General features: G+C 47.0%; 1 protein-coding gene and 1 long non-coding RNA gene across 7 annotated transcripts in view, besides 2 other annotated features; both read left to right on the top strand.

The window, feature by feature from the left end:
* Positions 1-20,193, top strand: part of GALNT18 (polypeptide N-acetylgalactosaminyltransferase 18) — a 351,129-nt gene that overhangs the window by 135,673 nt on the left and 195,263 nt on the right. The gene's annotated exons all lie outside the window — the stretch shown is intronic.
* LOC107983976 (uncharacterized) lies at positions 1,977-13,057 on the top strand. Its single transcript, XR_931032.3, has 2 exons — positions 1,977-10,017; positions 10,171-13,057. It is a non-coding gene; the product is annotated as an uncharacterized LOC107983976 (long non-coding RNA).
* Positions 11,444-11,613: an enhancer, noted in NCBI's record as "experimental_18862 CRE fragment used in MPRA reporter constructs". NCBI's record gives its function as "activates a minimal promoter by MPRAs in K562 erythroleukemia cells, with activity observed for the introgressed 11:11496352 or rs11021872 variant allele {active_cell/tissue: K562}" and the evidence as "EXISTENCE:reporter gene assay evidence [ECO:0000049][PMID:34662402]".
* Position 11,528: a transcriptional cis regulatory region, noted in NCBI's record as "Neanderthal adaptively introgressed variant 11:11496352 (GRCh37/hg19 assembly coordinates) or rs11021872 in the experimental_18862 CRE". NCBI's record gives its function as "modulates activity of the experimental_18862 enhancer by MPRAs in K562 erythroleukemia cells {active_cell/tissue: K562}" and the evidence as "EXISTENCE:reporter gene assay evidence [ECO:0000049][PMID:34662402]".

Below are 20,193 nucleotides of genomic sequence, written 5' to 3'. Positions count from 1 at the left end.
CCTAAGATGGGGATAGTCCTGATGCAGCATGGGCTTCTGACTTTCAGAGCACATTGTGACAGGCAGAGAAGTTTGAGGAAATGAATACAGGGAAGAAGGCAAGTAGGGCGGGAGGTACAAGGACCTGGGATGGTGCCAAGCCTCTGACAAGGGTGGCCCAGGTGCCAGCAGGCCTACTCGCTCCTCAAAGATATATGCATAATTTCAGATAATCTCACAGCTTCCAGCATGCTGAGTCCTTCTTGTAGATTCCCACGCACTCCCAGGGACTCAAGGTGGCCTCTGCCTCCTGGGTGTCCATCTCCCCACCAACCATCTCTGTGATGCTCTCACTGTGCTGATAGTCTGCAGATTCCACCAAGAGAATTCACTCATGTGCAAGGTTCAGGATCACAATAGGCCTCCCTAGAGAAGATTACATAGGGCAGCAACTTTTACTGGCTCCAGAAGCCTCCAAGTTCTGAAAGCATCTGCTGGCCCCTTTACCACACAAGGTTTCCCTGCCCCACAGTTCATCCTAGGCTCATGTCAGCTTGCTGGCCTGCCACTTGTGGTCCTCCCTTCTCTTTGTCAGAAGCAAGCCCCCTGTTCTTCATGCTGGCCCATGAAGGTCAACTCCTCCCCTCTTTTGCTGTCTGGTCCACAGTTGGTATACAGTTGGTGCCCTGGTCCTGGGTATGTGTATGTGTGTGTTTGTATGCCCACCTGCCAGCCAGCACTCATGAAATTGGTCTTGCAAAGACTTCTCCCTAAAAGGAATTGTGTCTGGCCATTGTGATATTATGAAATGCATAGTTGGTCTTCATCCCCATTTCTGGCAAAAAGTTCTTGGAGGTGGAGCACCCTTCTGCCATGCCTTACACCATGCATTTCTTCCATCTGGCTGTTTATCTATATCCTTTATAATACACTGGTAAACATAAGTAATGTGTTTCCCTGAGTTCTGTGAGCCACCCTAGCAGATTAATCACACCGAGGAGGGGGTCATAGGAATCTCTGATTTATAGTGGGTCATCAAAAGGATAGGTAACCACCTGCTACTTGCAAGCAGCATCTGAAGTGGAGGCAGTCTTGTGGGACTTAGCCCTCAACCAATGGTAGATGGGGTCGGAATGGAATTGAATTAGAGAACACGCAGGTGGTGTCTGCTGGAGAACTGATTGTCAAAATGTTGTGTTGGGTGGTTTGTGAGAACAGGAGGAAACCCTTTTTTCCCCTTTAGCCATTAACCTAATAAACATGTTGTCCCTACATTGTCTTCTGACAGGTTCTCCTCCAGATTGGCATGATGATCACATGTCACCGATGGCTTGGAAATGTTGAGTGACTTGCCCAAGGTCTCATAGAGCCCTGACTCTAGAATCAGAGCTGGGATTAATCATGGGCATGGCAGATGCTGAAGCTCATGTCGCGGCTGCCTGGCCCTGGCTGCTCCCAGCTACAGGCCCTGGGGCCTCTTCTTTTAGTCTCAGTGCACTGATTTGTGGGCTCCACTCCTTGGGGACCTGGAAGAGCTGTTCAGTTTCTCCTCACCTGCTTTGGACCTTTGGCAGGGCTGCTAAGGTCCCCCCATAACTTGGGTTCTGTCCTTCTAGTCCCTGGGACTCTTGTTTTTGTAACCCATGTGACTTTCTGCACGCTCCATCTAGTGTCCATTCCATCATTTGAAGGCAGCAGAGAGACCCCTGGGGGCTTTATTAACATTTCACTTGGGTATTTTTTTTTTTTTTTTTTTTTTTGAGATGGAGTTTTGCTCTTTTTGCCCAGGCTGGAGTGCAATGGCGTGATCTCGGCTCACCACAACCTCCGCCTCCTGGGTTCAAGCAATTCTCCTGCCTCAGCCTCCTAAGTAGCTAGGATTACAGGAGTGTGCTACCATACTTGGCTAATTTTGTATTTTTAGTAGAGGTGGGGGTTTCTCCATGTTGGTCAGGCTGGTCTCAAACTCCCGACCTCAGGTGATCCGCCCACCTCGGCCTCCCAGACTGCTGGGATTACAGGTGTGAGCCACCATGCCTGGCCTCACCTGGCTATATTTGAAATGAAGCAAATTGCTCAGAACTAGCTTAGGTCTCTGGTGGTCAGCAGTAGGCTTGTTGCATTTTGCAAGAGCTCTGCCTTACAAACAGGTTCGGATGAGCAGCCTGACTCCAGCACTCAGCAGCTAGGCGAATTTTGATAATCCTTTCTTTTTAATTGCTCAGAGCTTCTGTTTCCTTATTTGTAAAATGCAGGTAATAACAGTAATCTCACTGAGCTCTTGACAAGGTGAATGAGAAATGCATGGAAAGTCCCCCGCACAGAGTAGGTGCTGTGTCCTTCCGGGGAGGGGGTTACACATTGGACCCCCATGTCCCACGATGGAACTTTGCTCGGGGCCTTCATTTCAGTCTGCATCTGCCCACACACAGCTCACGGCTTCTCTTTTACAGCTGCATTAATCATCCATCCAAAAACACACGGAAAGGAGCCTAAATACCAACTCGCCCACGGATATTGAGCTCATTATTTATTGAAGTAACGTCTGTGCATCCTGAAAGCACACCTCCCATCACAGCCCCCATCACCTGCCCTCCCACAGCTCATTAGCGTCACCAAGGGCTGCCTTTAGAGCCTTCTGCCATTCAGGGTCTTGCCTCAATCGGAAGAGAAAGAGTGTGTGGATTTCAGAATGGTCTTATGAAGTTGGCGTGCTGACCTTTCCTGAACCCTCCTCAGGCCTTAGCTCCCAGAAGCTCTGTGTGGATGGCCAGGAGCAGGCTGGGCCAGGGTAGGGGGCACATTTTCAGATCCATCTGCCATTGGCTTCTCCAGAATGAATGGCCTTTACCCTCAGAATAATGTCCAGTGGACATCCTTTCCTCTTCGACCAAGACGTTTCAAGTGTCTGTGGCAGCAGTTGGTTGTATAGAGCTGACCGCATAGTTCCCCATGTGATGAGGAGACTTCAGAGCTGCACAGTCTGATGAAAGCTGTGCTATGACTGAGGACAGAGTCATAGCATAGACTCATGGGAGACCAGAGGAGGGCTTCTTACAGCCGGGGGAATCAGGGGAAGCTGCCCAGAAGGGAGCCCTAGAGCTGAATTTTAGCAGGCTAAGAGTAGAGCTGGCAAAGGAGGACAGTCTAGGCAAAGGGAGCAGCAGGCATAGAGGCAAGGAGGCAAGACAGTCCCTCTCTTAGGCACAGCAGTGGGCATCAGATTGGACCAAGGGGAAGGTGCTCAGGATTTCAGACTGGCAAACCCATAGCTTCTTATGGTTTAAAGGGGAGAATCCTGAGCAAATGGAGTGAATCTGAGCAAAGGCTGAACTTCGCAGATTTTAATGTCCATATGAATCAGTTGGGGATTTGTTCAAATGCAGATTATGATGAGGTAGGTCTGGGCTGGGGTCCAAGAGCCTGCATTTCTGACATGCTCCTCAGCGATGCCCATGCTGCTGGGCCATGGAACACACTTTGTAGAGCAAGGGATAGCTTTGTAGCAGGCAGGACAAGCCCTGTGCATCTGACCTTGGAGGGTTTATTTCCGTTTTCCCTGTGCCTGGAAGTTTGGCTTTAGCTAATTTCATAAGATTGCTGAAGAACTGATGTACCAGCCCATCACCTTAGTGTGCCTGGGATACTGATTTGCTTTTTTCTTCTTCTTAACACGTTTGCAATCAGTAGCCATGTTTCTGATTTCCCACCGGCACAGGGCAGGGGCCTCCAAGAGGAAGACAGACTATCCTGTGTATGGGAATCCAAGCTGGTGTGACTGTCCTCATGGCTTCTGTGTAACCATAAAGGGCTGGGTCTTGCTCCTGGGAGAGGATGGCCTCCCTCTCTCAGTGAGCCCAGGATGCCACCCCTCATTCTCTCTGCCTCTGTACATTTTCCCTCATTGCAGAACAGTCCAAGCTGACCCATCTGCCCAGAGGCCTCATTCCCTTGCCTTCTGGCTCCAGGGGTCTGTGGGCCAGGGTGGAGGGCTTTCATAAATGGGGCCTTGGGATCAGTGTGAAGAGCACAGCTCTAGGGCAGAGCCAAATGCACAGTGACGGCGTGCCCACTGCACGGGGCTGGCACAGCTGGGGGAGGATGGCAGGCCCCTCCGACTGCACATGGGCTTCCCAGCAGACAGGCTGGAGCTGAATGTTCTTTCTCACCCTGAGTACTCCACACCAAAGGCCCCAGTGGAACTAGCTCCATGCAGTCCAGGAGCTGCATGTTAAGCTCCTGCTATGGGCCTCAGCCCTGGGAGACAAGGATCCTGCTCAGGAGGCCCGTAGCCCAGTAGGGAAACAGACAAGGATGACGGCAATCATAATTCAGTGTGGCTAGAGGGGAGCAAAGAGGGATGTAGGGACTTCGACAGGGATGATTAATTCTGTGGAATGGGGTAGGTAATTCAAAGAAATGTATTTAAGCTATGCTTTGAAGGATCTGCCATTCAACAATACTATGGGGCCTGACACTGAGCTATGCTCTGGGGATACAACTGTGATAATTCAAACAAGGTCTGTGCCTCCTGAAGGGCCTGTTAGGGTAGGAGGGGTGATGACATCCTCAGAGGTGCAGCAGGTGCTGTCGTGCTATCTGTGCTTTGCCCGTTTCCCCCCATTCTACTCCTTCAGTGCACACTGATCCAAATTCCAACCACCAGCACCTGAGTTTCTTTGCCTGGGTGCTTTCTCTTTCCATTGGTGTCTACTACACTAGGGCAGGCCAGAGTGCTGGGAAACTCACAGTCCTGCCCTCCACACAGCATGAGCTGATGACTGCCGGGAGATAGTGTATAAATACCCTAGTTCCCTTGTCCCTTGGGAAAGTCAGCTCTGAGGCATGTGCTCTACACTGAGTGTCACCATCAGGATTTGGTCCTAATCTCCCAGCATGCTGGCTGCATAAAGCACCTTTACTCGCTGCCTTCCCTTCTTGTCTCATGTTTCCCCCTTACCAGGTTTTCTTCATCTCCTTCTTGAGCTCAAATGCTTGCCCAAGAGTCAGCTTCTGGGGGGATCCTAAGCTAAGACCAGCGAGGAGGGATTCATGCTCAGCGAGGAGCACAGGGCATGTAGAGGTGTAGCTGTAGCCAGGGCAAGGGGTAGCACAGACTGCCTTCTCATGGGAATTTGCAGATGAATTGCCTAGTGGAGTGCAGGGGGCTGTTTGGGTGGCTCAGCTGCTCTCTCAGTCCTGAGCTTACTCACCAGCTATGCACAGCCACCCAGACCCATAGAAACCTCCTGCCAGGATTCCATTGGAGTTTCCCTCTGGAAGCAGTTTGAGCAAATTCCATTAGATTGGAAAGTCGGTGCTGAGGAACTTGGAGAAGATGATGGAAGACAGCATTTCCTATGGCACATCAGTCCTGGGATGTGTCCACAAAGAAGGGCTCCCCAGTCACATGAGGTTGCCCAGGGCTGTAGGTACATTTCACTCTTGGAGGTTCCCAAGAAAGGCCTGAGAAGTCCTGAGTCAGGAATCATTTTCCCCTAACCAGGATTAAGCAGTAATTCCCTTAGCCATTTCACCACAGAACCTTCTATCACATAGCACTTAATAACTCTGCACGGAACTAGGGTTCTGTAGAGCACGCTGTGAGAAGTGCTGATACAGGGATGAAGGGACTCATCTGGAGAGTCAGGGAAGACTCTGGAGGCTGAAGCCAGCCTCTCAATGTCACTTCTCTGCTCTCAGTGATCCCCAGTAGGAAGGTGCCACTGCATTACAGAATCAGATCTCAAAACCAGTACTGGGACCAGGTGGTGACCAGAGACTGCTCAGAGCCTCTTTCTAACCAGACACTAGAAGCAGAGTGTCTGATACGTTCACAACGTGCTTCATGGACCACTGCAGCTCAGAAGGCAGTGTGAGAGATAAGAGAAACCACTACCTGGAACCAATTCAGACCATTAGGCCAGAGGAAGATGGACAGATAACTGAGAATGAATAGATTTCACCATTATCCAAGGGACAGAGTAGAACTCAGAATGAGATGCCCCAAAAGAACAAATAACAGAGACTGAGGGTCAGTTATTGGGATATGACTGAGGTTGGGGCGAGGGGGGCGAGAGAGAGAGAAAGAGAGAGAGAGAGGAAGGAAGGAAGAAAGAAAGAAATAAAGAAAGATTGACCCCTTCTTTTAGTTTATTTTGTGGCTACCACCCATGGCTTGTTCTGGGAGATGATGTTTCAGATAGGAGGTTATTGAATAAAAGGAAGTTGAAGCTCAAGGTAGGGAAGGTGACAAATAGCAGTATTTTCTGCCTCCTGTACCCCCTCCCCGCTCCAAGATCTACAAACTCTCCCATCTCTCTTCTCTAGCCTCCTGGTGGGGCTTGGGGTAGCAGCCTTGCTCCTCTCTCCTCATCTTCTCTATCACTCCTGGACCCGGGAGGTAGAGCATCTAGGTAACTTACCTCTCCACAGTGCAATTTGAGTTTAGGGACATTGATGAGAGCATAGCTATTTTAAATGAGCTCATGTTTCTGGCCTGGATTTTACTAGATGAGGCTTCCAGAAGATGAATTTGCAGAAGAAAACATTGGTCCACAAGCTTCAGAGTGTGGGATAGAGAAGGACTGGGGCCAGAGGCTACAGATGAATCAATGACGTGACTTCCGCATGGGGCACAGGTCAGCTTTGCAAACTGTAGGTTAGTGAGTTTAATGTCATCCCTCAGTAAACCACGGAAATAAATCATTATTTTTAGATTATTTTTTGAATTGTATCAAAGTAATCCTTTACATAGTTAAAAAACCTCAAATAGTATCTATAATAAAATAAAATAGTTCCCTGCTTCACCACAGTCATCTTCCCAGATCTGGGAAGCACTATTGAACCCCTTAGCTATTTCAACTCATATTTGCTACCATATTTCTAAATAATTTGCTGGCACCACTGTTTTCTGATTCAATAGTATTAGACATTATGTATTGATTTCTTATTATAGTCGATAAGGATTTGGCTGCCTTATATTTTCTATCTCCTTAAAACACATACCTCCTCTTCCTCAATCCTCAAACTTTGGGTTAAAACGGTAGACAGTATTAACATTATGTACTGTGAAAATATTGTTCCCTGTTAAGGAGACTTCCATGATGTAAACTTTATTTTTCCTAGTTGAATCGGTGTCCAATTAGGAAAACATTAATCAGTAAGCATTTTAGGCAGAATTTAAGGAATGGGTTATACAAGTAATGGAAGAATTGGGAAGCCAAACAGAGGCAGTCAAGGCAACCAGAAATTAGGCACAGCAGGAAGCTGCCACCACCAGGCCTAGGGCTAGAGAGCCAAGGGCATGGACAGTTTTTCCAGAGCCCAAGACGCAGGGCCATTGGCAGAAGGTGGAACCAGGGCAGTCCTTTCTGAGAGGAGTCAGCCCTGAGGAGGTGCCACCTCCGCGGGAGATGCCACCTCCGCGGGAGATGCCGAGATGCCGCAAGAGACAGACAGCCAGGGGCAGAAACACCTAGGCTTCTCCCCTCCCCCGCCCCCATCTCTCTTCAGTGCCTCCTGTTGGCCAAATTCACATAGAAGCCAATTGAGAAACGCGGCTTGCAGGAGTCAGCCTGCTCTGCTCGCTTCAACTCCCATGAAACAGAACGGGCCAGAGAAGAGCAAGGAATGGAAATGAGGTCAAACAGGCCAACCCCAGACACAGTCATATTAATATTTGCCCTTTTATAAAGAAAATTAAATAAGCATTTAGCATTGATTTTTTTGTATGTGCTCTATCAAATCTGTTTTATGAATGTGATCCATTCATTTCATTTGGTTTCCAGGAGTGCTCCATCCTTCTGCTGCATCTGGGCTGTTTGCTCAGGCCTGCCTCGGTGCTGCCGTTTGGGGCATGAGGACGGCTTCATCTCAGGGAGTCCCTTATCCTGCTCCTGGGCTGAACCCCTGCGTTAATTCCTTATCTTCCTTTTTCTTGGTTTACTCCCTTTTTATAGGAACATGTCTTCCAGTAGCTTCCCAAGAAAGAGGCCATGGGAAATAAATATTTTGCCTTTGCATGTCTGAAAATGTCTTTATTCTACGCTCACATTTGATTGGCATGTTAGCTAGCTTTAGAACTCTAGGTTGAAAACAAGTTTCTCTGGAATTTTGAAGGTGCTGATTCATTGCCTTCCAGCTCCCAGTGTTGCTTCTGTGGTCTGATACTATCCAGGTTTTGCTCCTTTCTATGTGACCTGTTTTGTTTTCTTTTCTCTTTGTATGTTCTTAGAATCTTCCTTATATCCTCAAATTATCTTTGCAAATCTAGACAAACAACCCCAAATATAGATTTGTTTTGCTGAGAGCATAAAGCCCCTCCCTCCACAGTCAGGAAAATATTATGACCCAGTGGATTTGAAGCTTTTGATCTTAGATAAAGCCTGATGTCCCAAAGGGATCAGTTCCTAATTGTAGGACTTTCTGGCAAAATTAGCCATGGGTGATCAAATAAAGCCTCTCCTTGATGCTCTGACTTGGTACATCTGGTACTTTGAATAAACAAGACTCCTGGGGTGTAATTACAGAAGCATCTGTATCTTTGTTATCACTATCCTTTTAAATGTGCTCAGTAAGAGTAAGTCTTCTGCTATAGGGTGAAAATTCAGACAAGACCATGACTTTCTTTGTCATAAGTCGTATATAAATTTATACCAAAACACAGTCTTAAGAGGGTCCAGTGCTATTTAATCAGCAAAACTTAAACTCGCTGTTAATTCTACTAGAGGATCTGTAGTCCAAGGAGGGGAATAGGTTCCTGCTTGTCTCTCCCAGCTCTTCCTCCCTATTTGCCAGCTGTGATCTCTCACCATTCTAGAAAGGAGGAGGGAGAGGAAAGGTGTGGAGGGCAGGAGGCTTCCCACTTGACTGATACTGTCTTGAAGTGGCCTTGTGCCTGCAGGCCCAGGCAGATATTTAAGATGACTCTTCTATTGTGATTGTGTGAGTTCTCTGGAGATGCCCCTGCTGGGCCAGGTGACTGCAGCTTCTTTGATAGAGCCAGGGCCTCAGCTTCAACTGGCTACTCCCAACCCTCACATGGTTCCTGCCCCTTTGGTCCCTCATAGTGGCTTATTGAGGGATCCCATGCCCTGGAAAGATGCCTTCCTGGGCAGGATGCCTACTAAAACAATTGCAGGCTGGCATTCCCTCCATGGGTTCTGGGTTTGGCCACCTTCATCCTGCCATTGGAGGAGGTGTTAGTGGCCTCTCTAGCTTTCTCCACTATGAGTCAGGCACAGATGCCTGTGTTCTCCAACTTCAGGGAACCCAAATCTATTCTGTAGGTGGTTCCACTGAAGCCTCTCCCACTAAGTGTGCGGTGGGAGGTCGGTCATCCAGCCTTTCCCTCGGGGATGGGTGGACCCCAACTCAGAAATCCTCTTCATAGACCCTCTTAATCTTCAACAATGCAGTCCTTTGTCCCTCAATCTAAGTGAATCACTAATTAATTTTCAGTCACCTTCTTTGAAGTGTCATGCACTGACTTGTCTGAGAACTTGCTTGGGCATCTGGTATCCATTGCATCTTGGTGCCTTAGTGAAAATTCCCAGCTTAACTTTCTTGTTATGTGGGCATCTCCCAGAATCTGTCTTCTCCTTGCACCTGTCACATCATGCCCAAGTTGCTATGAAATAGCCATCTCAAATATCTAAATGCCTGTGAGCAATCGCTCCTGAAAAGAGACAGTGGGGGCTGGAAATTTGATTCCTTCAGAAAAAGAGTTTCCTGAGAACAGGACATTCCAATTAGTGAGCTGATAGCTCATCCTTGTCACCGGAGCTGTCCATAGCAGAACAAGAGTGCTGGGCAATGCTTTATGAGTCAATAAAGAAAGCACCTCCAGAGTCCTAGGAAACACATTTCATTTGCTTATTTATTGCCTTTAATTTTATAGGCTATAGGAGAAATTTCTGCCTTCTGAATGTGTCCAACTAGCTCTGTTCACCTGAGAAATCACATTCCCCAGCTCTGGGTATCCCTGAATAACCACAGGAGAACAGTTCCAGGCCCTGATAAGTCAGCTATTGCAAGGTAAGAGTCTGGAATCCCGGGAGACATGATGACGAGGGGTCACTTCTCTATGCTGTTATTAATGTTTGGATGTCTCCCAATTTCACTGCTACTCATAAGAACCTTATCAGCTGGTACAGGGAAAGACTGAACTAATTGATTTCTGATTTCCAGGGGGACCTGGCTGGAAGATATGAAGGAAAAATATCATTCTTGAACTAATAAGTTGAGAGATCACAGCCTTCAGGGGACCAGAAGGGAAGGCTGAACAGGGAAGGGCAATTTCACGTTCGCCATGTCCATATTTCTATCGTCATGAGCCATCTCACCTTACAGGCAGGGAAGTTTTGAGCTTAGAGAATGGGATGCGTCAAGAAAACCGTGGCTCCCCCAGCTCTGTTCCTGGATTCAGTGCCTGTTGTTTCATCCTGTGTAGACTGGAGTCAGGGTCTACACAGTTGGAATTCTATGGAACCAAGATGCTGTGTGGCAGATGGATGTGGACTCCAACTGTGACAATCCAGAAGGCCTTGGGGACTTGTTTCATGAACAGCTCCCTGTAGGATCTCTGTTGGGGTGGGGGATTCTAGGGGCATCTCCGCAGTTTTCTTCTGAAAACAAAACGAATACCAGTTGGGCAGGTGCAACAACTGTGCATGCAGTCCCCTCCCAGGGCTGGCTAGCAGTATTGTTGGGTACCGTAAGCACTTAGCATTGTTAAGTGAGCATAAGTAACAAGATGCAACAGCCTCTGGCCAAGTTTTGAAGATTTTGTTTTAAAGTATGCTTTTAGATGTTGACATTCATGATTATTAAAAGGAACAAAACTCAATTTGGGGTCTCAAGAGCCACAATTCTAGACTTCTAGGATGTCAGGAGCCATGCTCTTAAGCTTCTCACCCTGCTGTTTTAATGAGATTAATGATTATTTTCCACTGAGCACCTACCTGTGATGTTCATAAAAAAGTGAAATAAATGACTCACATGGAGATTTGGAAGGATATCACTGTGGAAAGTAGATGTTAACAGCCTCTAGAAATATGATAATTATCAGCTATTTGAGATGCAGTCACTGTAATGTGATAACAAGATGTGTTGTGCAGGTAGAAAGCATGGAGAGAAATGGCACGAAGTAGTTATAAGAAAAAAGAAAGAAGAGATCTTGTTTGGTTATTCACTTTATTGTGATAAAATTGAAATGGGAGAAAGTTGAAATCTACATACTGAAATTTACATGGTATTCAGTAGTCCCTCTCTGTTCATTTGTGGAATGAGCACGATATTTTCCCCTAAAAGATGCCTACCCTGTGCTAGGCAGGAGGCCTGGGTGTGTCAGGAGGCTGTCAGACTCAGGGACATTTTGCTCATCTACGTGCCCATTTTTATATTGACATTCCCACTCTGGGGAAAGGCAGGTCAGGGCATTTTAGACAGCTGTGGAGTCAACACTGTCTCTCATGTCCTCTAGTATGTTTTCTAGAATAGATTAAATGTATACATATATGTTATCTCATCTATGGTGAATTTGAGGCGTCCCTGTTTGCACTGCAGCAACTCTTCCCATGGTTAGGAGCCTCTGCATTCCTAAAGCATTGTTGATACAGTGAGGAATAAATCCTTGGCCTTCAGATTTCTTGATCTCCAATGATTGTTGAATGAATGAATCCACCTTTACTTAACTTTAAAGCCCAGTGTTTCTACTTCCAAAATATACTTTAAATACTTCCCTCCATATCCAATACTACTAGCATCATCCAAGCCACTTCTTTCCTGGACTACTCAATAGTTACGCACTGGCCTCCTTCCATTCATTCTTTTGAACTTTCAATTATGTTAATCGGATTCTGTTCCTCTTTTGCTGAAAACCCTTCCAAGTTTTCCCATTGCTATTAGAACAAGAGCCACACTCCTCACAAAGGCTCACAGGTCCTGTACGATCTTTCCCCAGCCTTATACCTTACCTATCTTTACCACTCTCAGCCAATCACACTCGTGCCATTTTGGTTCTTTGAGCCCCCTGAGTTCTTTCTGGCCACAAGTCTTTTATACTTGCTGTCTCCTTAGTTCTATGGCTGGCTCATTTTCATCTTTGGATACCACTTCAAATGGGTCCTTCCTATGACCTGTGTTGACCACTCTATCTAAAGCAGCAGCTCTCCTCCAAGTTTCTCTTACTATTTCACAATCTGTGATGACCTGGGTTCTTGGTTTATTTTACTTAATGTCTTGGTTTGTTTTATTAACATCGGTTTTGTTGTTTTTTGTTTTGTTTTGAGATGGAGTCTTACTCTGTCGCCCAGGCTGGAGTGCAGTGTCGGATCTGGGCTCACTACAACCTCTACCTCCCAGGTTCAAGCCATTCTCCTGCCCCAGCCTCCCAAGTAGCTGGGATTACAGGCATGCACCAATATACCCAGCTAATTTTTGTATTTTTGGTAGAGACTGAGTATCACCATGTTGGCCAGGCTGATCTTGAACTCCTGACCTCAAGTAATCTTCCCACTTCGGCCTCACAAAGTGCTGGGATTACAGACATGAGCCACTGCACCTGGCCTTGGTCTATTTTATTAAAGTCTCAATGTCTGCCAGGTGCCTGACATGCAATAGGTGTTCAGTTAGCTTAACAAACTTGCTGGCTTAGAAGTGAACTTGCTTCTCTCTCCCCCTGTGTGCATACACACTTTGGCTTTGCAAAAAAGACAGCCCTGCTGCTGCCCTCAAGCCTACCTTCTGAGAAGGCACTCAGGATGCTGAAAGTGAAGCTCACATATTTCACTCTGCACCGTCTGCACACTCTGCCATCTTTAGGCCCAAAACGAGCCTTCTGGAATCCTCAGGCTTTCTAAATGCTAAATATACAGCATTAATCGGATCTTGCATCTCTATTGAATAACTAAGACACCTTTATGTTGAAATGCAGATTCTCCATTGAAAGGCAAATCTTTCATTTCGAATGTTTGAATGAGACTGGGTTTGTATTTATAAAATAAGTTGTATAGAAGAGCATATTCTGGGCCTGGAGTGCTTTCATTTGATTGCTCAATAAATACATTTTCACTCATCCAAAGCTCTTGCCTTGAAGTATTTTGCACTGAAGAAGTCAAATAAGTGACAGTAGCCCTATTGAATTCTATTTAATTTTACTTAATAATGTGCTGTTTAGTTCCGGGGTATTTCTGGGCCTGTATGTACCAGGGATGGGTTGAGAGTGCCTTGTTTAGAGGGAGGTGGGTTTGGGGCTGTAGTAAGAGCAGTAAGTGGGATAGGGCAGAGTGAGGTGGGTGCTGTGGATGGCACCCCTGCCTCCTGCTTGCTGTAGAATCTTTTTTATTTATTTATTTTTTTGAGACAGGGTCTCACTCTTTCATCCAGGCTGGAGTGCCATGGCTTGATCATGGCTCACTGCAACCTCAACCTTCTCAGCTCAGGTGATCTTCTCACCTCAGCCTCCTGAGTAGCTGGGACTACAGGTGGGAGCCACTGCACCCGGCCCATATATAGTCTTTCTAAGACATTTCTTTGAGTTTCTATTTCCTTGTATACAAAATGAGGATGGTAATACCTATCCCATGGTTTATTCTGAAAATGAAATAATATAATGAAGATAGAAATACTGAACATACTGTCTGGCATTTAGTTTGTGTTTTTATAAACATAGCATAGCTGATTTCAAGGTAGGTAGACATTGTAATCATTAGTTTTATTACTCTAACTAGACTCAATGTATAAGAGTCTGGTCTATCTTTGTTTCACTCTGCACATTCAGAAGGGGCTCAATAAGCACTTAACTTGTCATTTGTTACCGATTTCTTATTACAGAATGAATAATCATCATCAGTTGCACAGCCCAGAAAGAACTACCAACATTTTAGTGTATTCTCTGCCTCCCTCTCTCTCTGAATATACCCATCTTGAATTGACTTTGATTTACTGGGGGCAGAAAAGGGAAGCTCTGAGAAATACATGAAGTCAGTGAGAGAGTGAGGAAATGACTGTCCCTGCGGTACCCCTGTCCCCGTGTGACCCCTCTTACCCTTCCAGCCCCAGACCTGTCCTGAGCAAGGGAACCTGATAGCCAGGCATTGGCACCAGGCCCTGCAAATCCCTCTTTCTGCTCCAGCCAGGCAGTGCAGAACAGTGGGAGACATGGCCCCCATCCAGGTAGTGGAGCCCCTGTCCTGTCATGGGAATTGGTTGCTATCAGCTGTGCCTAGTGTGAGATAGATCATTTGATCTTTCCTGGCTGCACACTCTGCACACTCCAAAGAAACCTACTTATCTTGCAAGCAATCCCTAAATAAAACCCAAATTGTTTCCTGCAAGTGGCTTTCTGCTGAGCCTGGTCTTGCTGTCCTCCTTGACTCAGCCATGTCCCCATCACTCTCTGACCAGCTCTTCGCCAGGCCCTTCATGGCCCCCAGACAACTGTGCTGCTGATGGGGAGGGCCAGGCTGCAAAGCTGTTTGATTTGTCAAACAGACATCCAGTCAGGTCCTGGGCAGGGCAGGAGCCAAGGGGACTGACTTATGGCCCCACTGGTCAGGAGATGATATCAGAAAAGTACTACAGAATTTCTATCCTGCCTACCTTATTTTCTTGCTGAGTACCCCCAGGCAGGTAACAAAATTTATCTGAGCCTCAGTTTCCTTGCTTAGTTTGCTTCTACAAGGGTTCTTATTTTTACTTTGTGTGCCAAGTCCTGTGCTATGGACTTTATATACATCACCTCTATTAGGCTAAAAATTTCATGGTGGAGCTGGTGCATGCCAAAAAGCACAAGGAAAGGGGGAAGCATTGAAAGAGACCTGGGGAATCACAGCAAGAAGAATCTTGCCTGCAATTTGCATTGCCACCAGCACCATGATTAGCAGCCAGTCCCCACCTACCTATCATGATGCCACGGAGATGGAAGTCCCAGAACAATACTATGTCAGGGCTGGACCAGTCCTACATGACTCACTGCTTTATAGGTAACAAATTGAGTCCTAAAGTGGGGCATGACTTATCGAGTGGGTTTATTTGTTCTTTCATTTATTTACCAAACTTCTCTTGTGCATCTATTAGGTGCTGAGCCCGACGCCATGTTCTGAATGCACAGTCCTGCCCTTGGGGAACTGCTGCAACCATGAGAGAGGTAGAAAGCCAACCAGAAGGACGGATGGACAGGCGGAAGCCAGGGTAGACCTCTTAAAAAAGGAGTGGAATGGAAGCAAGTGGGGGAAATGAGAGGCTAGGATGAGAGTGACCCAGAAAAGGTTTTCTTAGATGAGGGAGACTGAAGCACAAGGATGATGGAAGAAAATGGTCCTGAGGAAAGGCAGGGAAGGAAGATACAGGAGAAAGAGGGATATTGATGTGCCCGGGCCCCTGAGTATGAATGGGGAGAAATCAAGAAGCCATTTGGCAGGACGTTTGATTCTCAGGCAAAGGTTTTTAGGAGGGGGACCTGGAGGGGGAAAACATCCCACTGAGCACAGTAGTGTCCTGGGGCCACAGATGGTCAGAGGCTAAGAATGCAGCATGGAGACACCATGGTACCTGACTTCCTGGCAGTCCTTCCTGTTCTGTAGTCTGGGGAGATGCTGCCCAGCACAGGGCTCACAGGGGCAGGAAGAAGCTCTCTGGAAGGAAGGGGTCTGAGAATTTGCCAAGGGACCCAGCTAGTGGAGCCTGAAAGGGGTCTTTCAGTCAATCCCCTGTCTCTGCCAATATCTCAGCTAGCTTAGTAGTAGACAGGAATCATATACAGATCAAAAGATCAAAATTAGCTAGCGATTAGTCATCCTATCACTATCCCCAAGCCTCTAGCATAGGAATAATGGGGTCTACAGCATGCTCACTTGCCTAGCCGACTGCGTGGAGGATAGCGCCTTCCTCACACACTGATGACAGAGGGAAAGTGAGATAAATGGAGAAGGATAGGGGGCTTCTTCTTGTCTTCTAAGATGGAAATTCCCATCCATAGATCAAGATATGAATGTAGGGCATGACCGTACAATTTCCTCCATGCCTGCACAGGACTATGTAGAGACAGAATGTGGATGTCCCTTGGTGCCTGGGTCTTAACCTTAGGGCCTGAGGACTGAAGACCTGGCCTTGAACCTGGTGGTACAGGGTCTCTGCCCTTAGTGACACAATGAAAGTAACAGCTGTGGTCAAGCATGGATGGGGGCTGGCTGTGAGACTTCTCAAGGCAGGGAAACATCTTGGTCACAGCTTCAAAACCATCCTCATCCAAGTGTCCCTGTCAATTGGCAAAAGTAACCTGAGAGGCAGAAGCAGATTGGAGGGACAGTCTTTCTCTAAAGGTTCCTATGGGAAGCAGTTACAAAGGCAAGCAAACAGGACTTCAATTCATTCAAAGAACAAAATCCTCTTGGAGACCAGTGATGTTTTGGAAAGCTTGTGACTAGGGACCCTGTTCTGGGGGCCTGATGGAATGACTATGTCCTTAAATATGCTCTTCTCCAATGGAGCTGAGTGGAAGACAGGCTGAGGGGGTCCTTGGAAAAGGCCCCATGTCTAACTGCCACCTGAGCCCCTAAATACCTTTGGAAAAGTCTGCAAGAGGAAGCTGAAAACACCTAAGGGAGCCTATACTCATTCCCCAACAACCAACTCACAGTCCACCTTTTAGCAAATCTGCTTAACACCGTCCATGTAGCCAGCCCTGAGACCCTCAGCTGACAAGGGCATGGATGATCCTTGCTTTCAGAGAGCTCACAGCCTATGTGAGCAGCCCTAAATGGCCCTCATGGATCAAACTGAAAACAAGTCAGAGGTTGATCACCAAGATGCAGATCCAGTGAGGTTTAGAGAAGAAGTGAATTAGGGGTCAGGGGACCAGGGATTGCTCTCTAGAGGACAGGGGCTTCTGTTGAGCCCTGCAGCAGCCTGTCTCTGCCATGGAGATCTGTACTGGACCCTGTAAAAGACATAGCCATAACAACAAACTTGACGAGGACTGTCTATTGCTGTGAAGCTTGGAAGTGCTTATAATGAGGGGCAGGCTTTCAGCGCTGTCTCCATGCCTTTCATCTGCTCCCTCTGTGAAGTCCCTGGGAACAGTCTGGTACCATGGTTTGGGGCCTTCGTTAGTTCTGCACTGTCTGAGACATTCACAGAGGCAAGAAAGCAGACGGGCTTCTTTATGTTTATAGCAACTCAGACTGCTTTTCTTGGCTACCGGGATCCAAAAAATAATATCATCAGAGCTGGCTGATTCACAGTGACGTGGTTAAAGAGTGCTGTGTCCTGGTGGCCTCATCTCAAGAGGCAGTGGTTGTGCCCAACACACTGTCCCTACCAAACCCTGGCAACCGCTGTATGGCCATCTGTCTATAGGACTGTCCATCTGTCCAGCCAGCCAGCCAGCCCCATGTGCAATGATGGTCCACCAGCAATACTCATTCACCTATCCATCTCACACTGGAGAACGAAGGTCGCTGAAGGCAGGGAGCCTGTTGGACTCCTGTATCCTTCTTTCGGTGGTTTATAACATTTTCTCCAGCACCAGCACCTGTAGAATCTGCCACACCCCCTTCAGTGACAGCTGCTTACAAAGCTGGTCATCCTTGAAGTGGAGTGGTAGACCAGCATTAGCGAGCATCCTGTTTGAAAAAGCCCCCAGACCCGAGAATCTTAACTACAAGTGACTCAGGAAAGTGGGGCTCAATGAAGAGTCCCTGAGATCCTCTGTCCTGCAACCTGGCCTGGCTTTGACTCCCAGCAACCTCCCTGCAGCCCCAGCCTCACCTGCCCTTAGAGCAAGGGCTGGTTGGAAGCTTTTTTTTTTCCATCTGTTTCTCCAAGTGTATGCTGGGGAGCACTGCTTCAGAAACACATGAGAAGTTTGTGGTATGGAGAAAAGACTCAGAATCTTAAAACAAGACTTGGCTGTTTCTTAGAGCTGCATGGCAGGCAGGAAGGAGGCGAGCACTCACCAGTGGGGGCCTGGGGACCGCCACAGCCTGTGTCCTTGACAGACTTCTCTTTCTACACCTGAGTATATTCAGGAGCCCTCAACAACTTGCCTTGGGGAGGTGGGTCTTTCCATGCTCAGGCAGGGAAGATGAAACATTATGACGTTCAGATGAGGAAAACAGACCTTGCAGTCATAAGTTATTAAACTTCCAAAGGCTGTGGGACAGAGGAGAATGATAACATATTACTACATCTGAAAGAAGGCATGGTATTTTACCAGCACAACATTTATGATATATAAAAGGATTACAGTATTTTTCTCAGAGGATAAGACAGGAAGGCTTGCTTTGTTATTTGAGATTTGAGATGTTTCTAGTTGACCTGAAGTTCTGCTGATTAGGGAGGGGCTAATTTCTTAAGACTTCTTAGTAATTATCCTGACCCAGACCTTCTTCCCTAGAATCTCTTAGGATGGAACATCTCGGGGTGATCTGTAGTCTTAACAAACTTACCAGGTGGATTCTTGTATACACACTGAAGTTTGGAAACCACTATCCTTAATCCAGTGGTTCTAAATCTTGGCTGCATATTGGAATCACCTGGAGAGTTGAGAAAACAATGAAAGGAAATACTACAAAAGAGATGCCCCAAACCCCACCTCCAGAGATTTTGACTCAACCAGGGTTGGGCCTGAGCATTCTTAATTTGATGTGATTATCTCATTCCCAGTTGACTTAATGTGTAGCCAGGGTTGAGAACTTGGGTTAAACTGTGTTCTCAGCCATGGTGCCTGTCTGTGCCCTGAATGTGCACAATGCATGAGCGTGTGGGCGTGTCTCCTGGGCTGATTCCAACCCTTGGGGACATTTATGGCTGGGACCTGGGCTTGCTCTGGCAAACAGAGTGGTTCCCTTTAAATGCCTGCATCTGGCCATCAGACTGGCATGGCGCCTGTGCTGTGTTCAGAGGATGTTGCTGGAAGCTGGGAGAAAAGCCTCTGCCATATCACCTCTCTCATCTGGCTCTGGGTAAGAAAGGGCTCTGTGAAGGGGCAGGGGTGGCAGCTGCAGCGGAACCAGTGGCACTGGGAAGATTTCTGGCCATGGAGCCATGGGTGACCTAGGTTGGGGCAGCAGCACCTGATGTAGTAGTTGCTATAGAGCTATGAGCCCTGATCCTCAGTGTGGCTTCTGCGTGTCAGTGTGGAGAGACAGCAGAACCCTCCTGCCTGCCGTGGGCACACATAGCATATGCAGCCGGTGGGCACACACGGTGATGTCTATCTTCTCCCCATTAAGGGCCTCCTGCCTCCCGGGCCCCAGGTTCGGAAGATGTTCTCCTCCGCACATACTGCCTGTGTGCAGAGATGAGCAGTTCATTTTCCATCTTTTATTAATCAAAGACACATGTAGCTGTTAATCAGGGCTTCTGACTCCCAGTAGGTAAGAAGATTTTCTACTCTGAGCCTTCTAGAAATTGCACATAAGCCAAGTAATGGGTCCTTTCATTGATCTGCGTGTGTCCTATTGCCAGGCCTTTTGGAAGCAGTTTGAAGAGCTCAGGAACACCCTGCCCAGGTCTCCCTTCTGTCTTGCTTCCCGCTCATTCCTGCCCCAACTTTACCTCTCTGTGTCATCTTTAGCAAGTCCTCCAACCTCTCTGATAGAAAAAATGCCTTGGCCTCATCGTTTCCCCTGAGAAAGGAGACAGATGAACTCATTAGCTTTCATGGTTCAAAGCACCTTCTTTGGCCACAGACCCTTTCTTTAAAGGGTTTCTTATGCAAAATCCTAATAGGTAAACAGACTGAATTAGAGCTATTCTGGCAAAGGAGGAAAGAGGGGTCTCAGACTCCCCTCACCCCTCTCTCAGGGTCCACTGTCCCCAAGGGGGCTCCACAGACTCTTTTGGAAACCTCAGTTGTAAATAAGTTATTTTCAATGGGGGATCATCCCTCCTTTCCTGGGTGTCCGTATCAAAATCTTGGGAAAGTCAAGTGGCACATGTACTTTGAAAAATCATATTTCAAAATGGCCATTGTTTCTATTTGTTTTCATTTGTGATACCTAATTTATTTTCAAATTTCAAGTAACATGAAAGGAGGGTAGGGATTTCAATATTCACGTAAAGGTGGCACTGGTTTATAAAGGTTGCAGTCCGTTGATCTACATCAGTGTTTTGCAAAATGCAGTCACAACCCACCCAGCAGGCCATGAAATCAATTTACTAGGTCATGAACAGCATTCCTTCTTAATAGAATATTACAGAATAAAA

Source organism: Homo sapiens, chromosome 11 (genome assembly GCF_000001405.40).
Source record: "Homo sapiens chromosome 11, GRCh38.p14 Primary Assembly".
NCBI classification, from domain to species: Eukaryota; Metazoa; Chordata; class Mammalia; order Primates; family Hominidae; genus Homo; species Homo sapiens.
The sequence above is the reverse complement of the archived record's forward strand: the minus strand, read 5'-3'. Positions and strand labels throughout refer to the sequence as shown.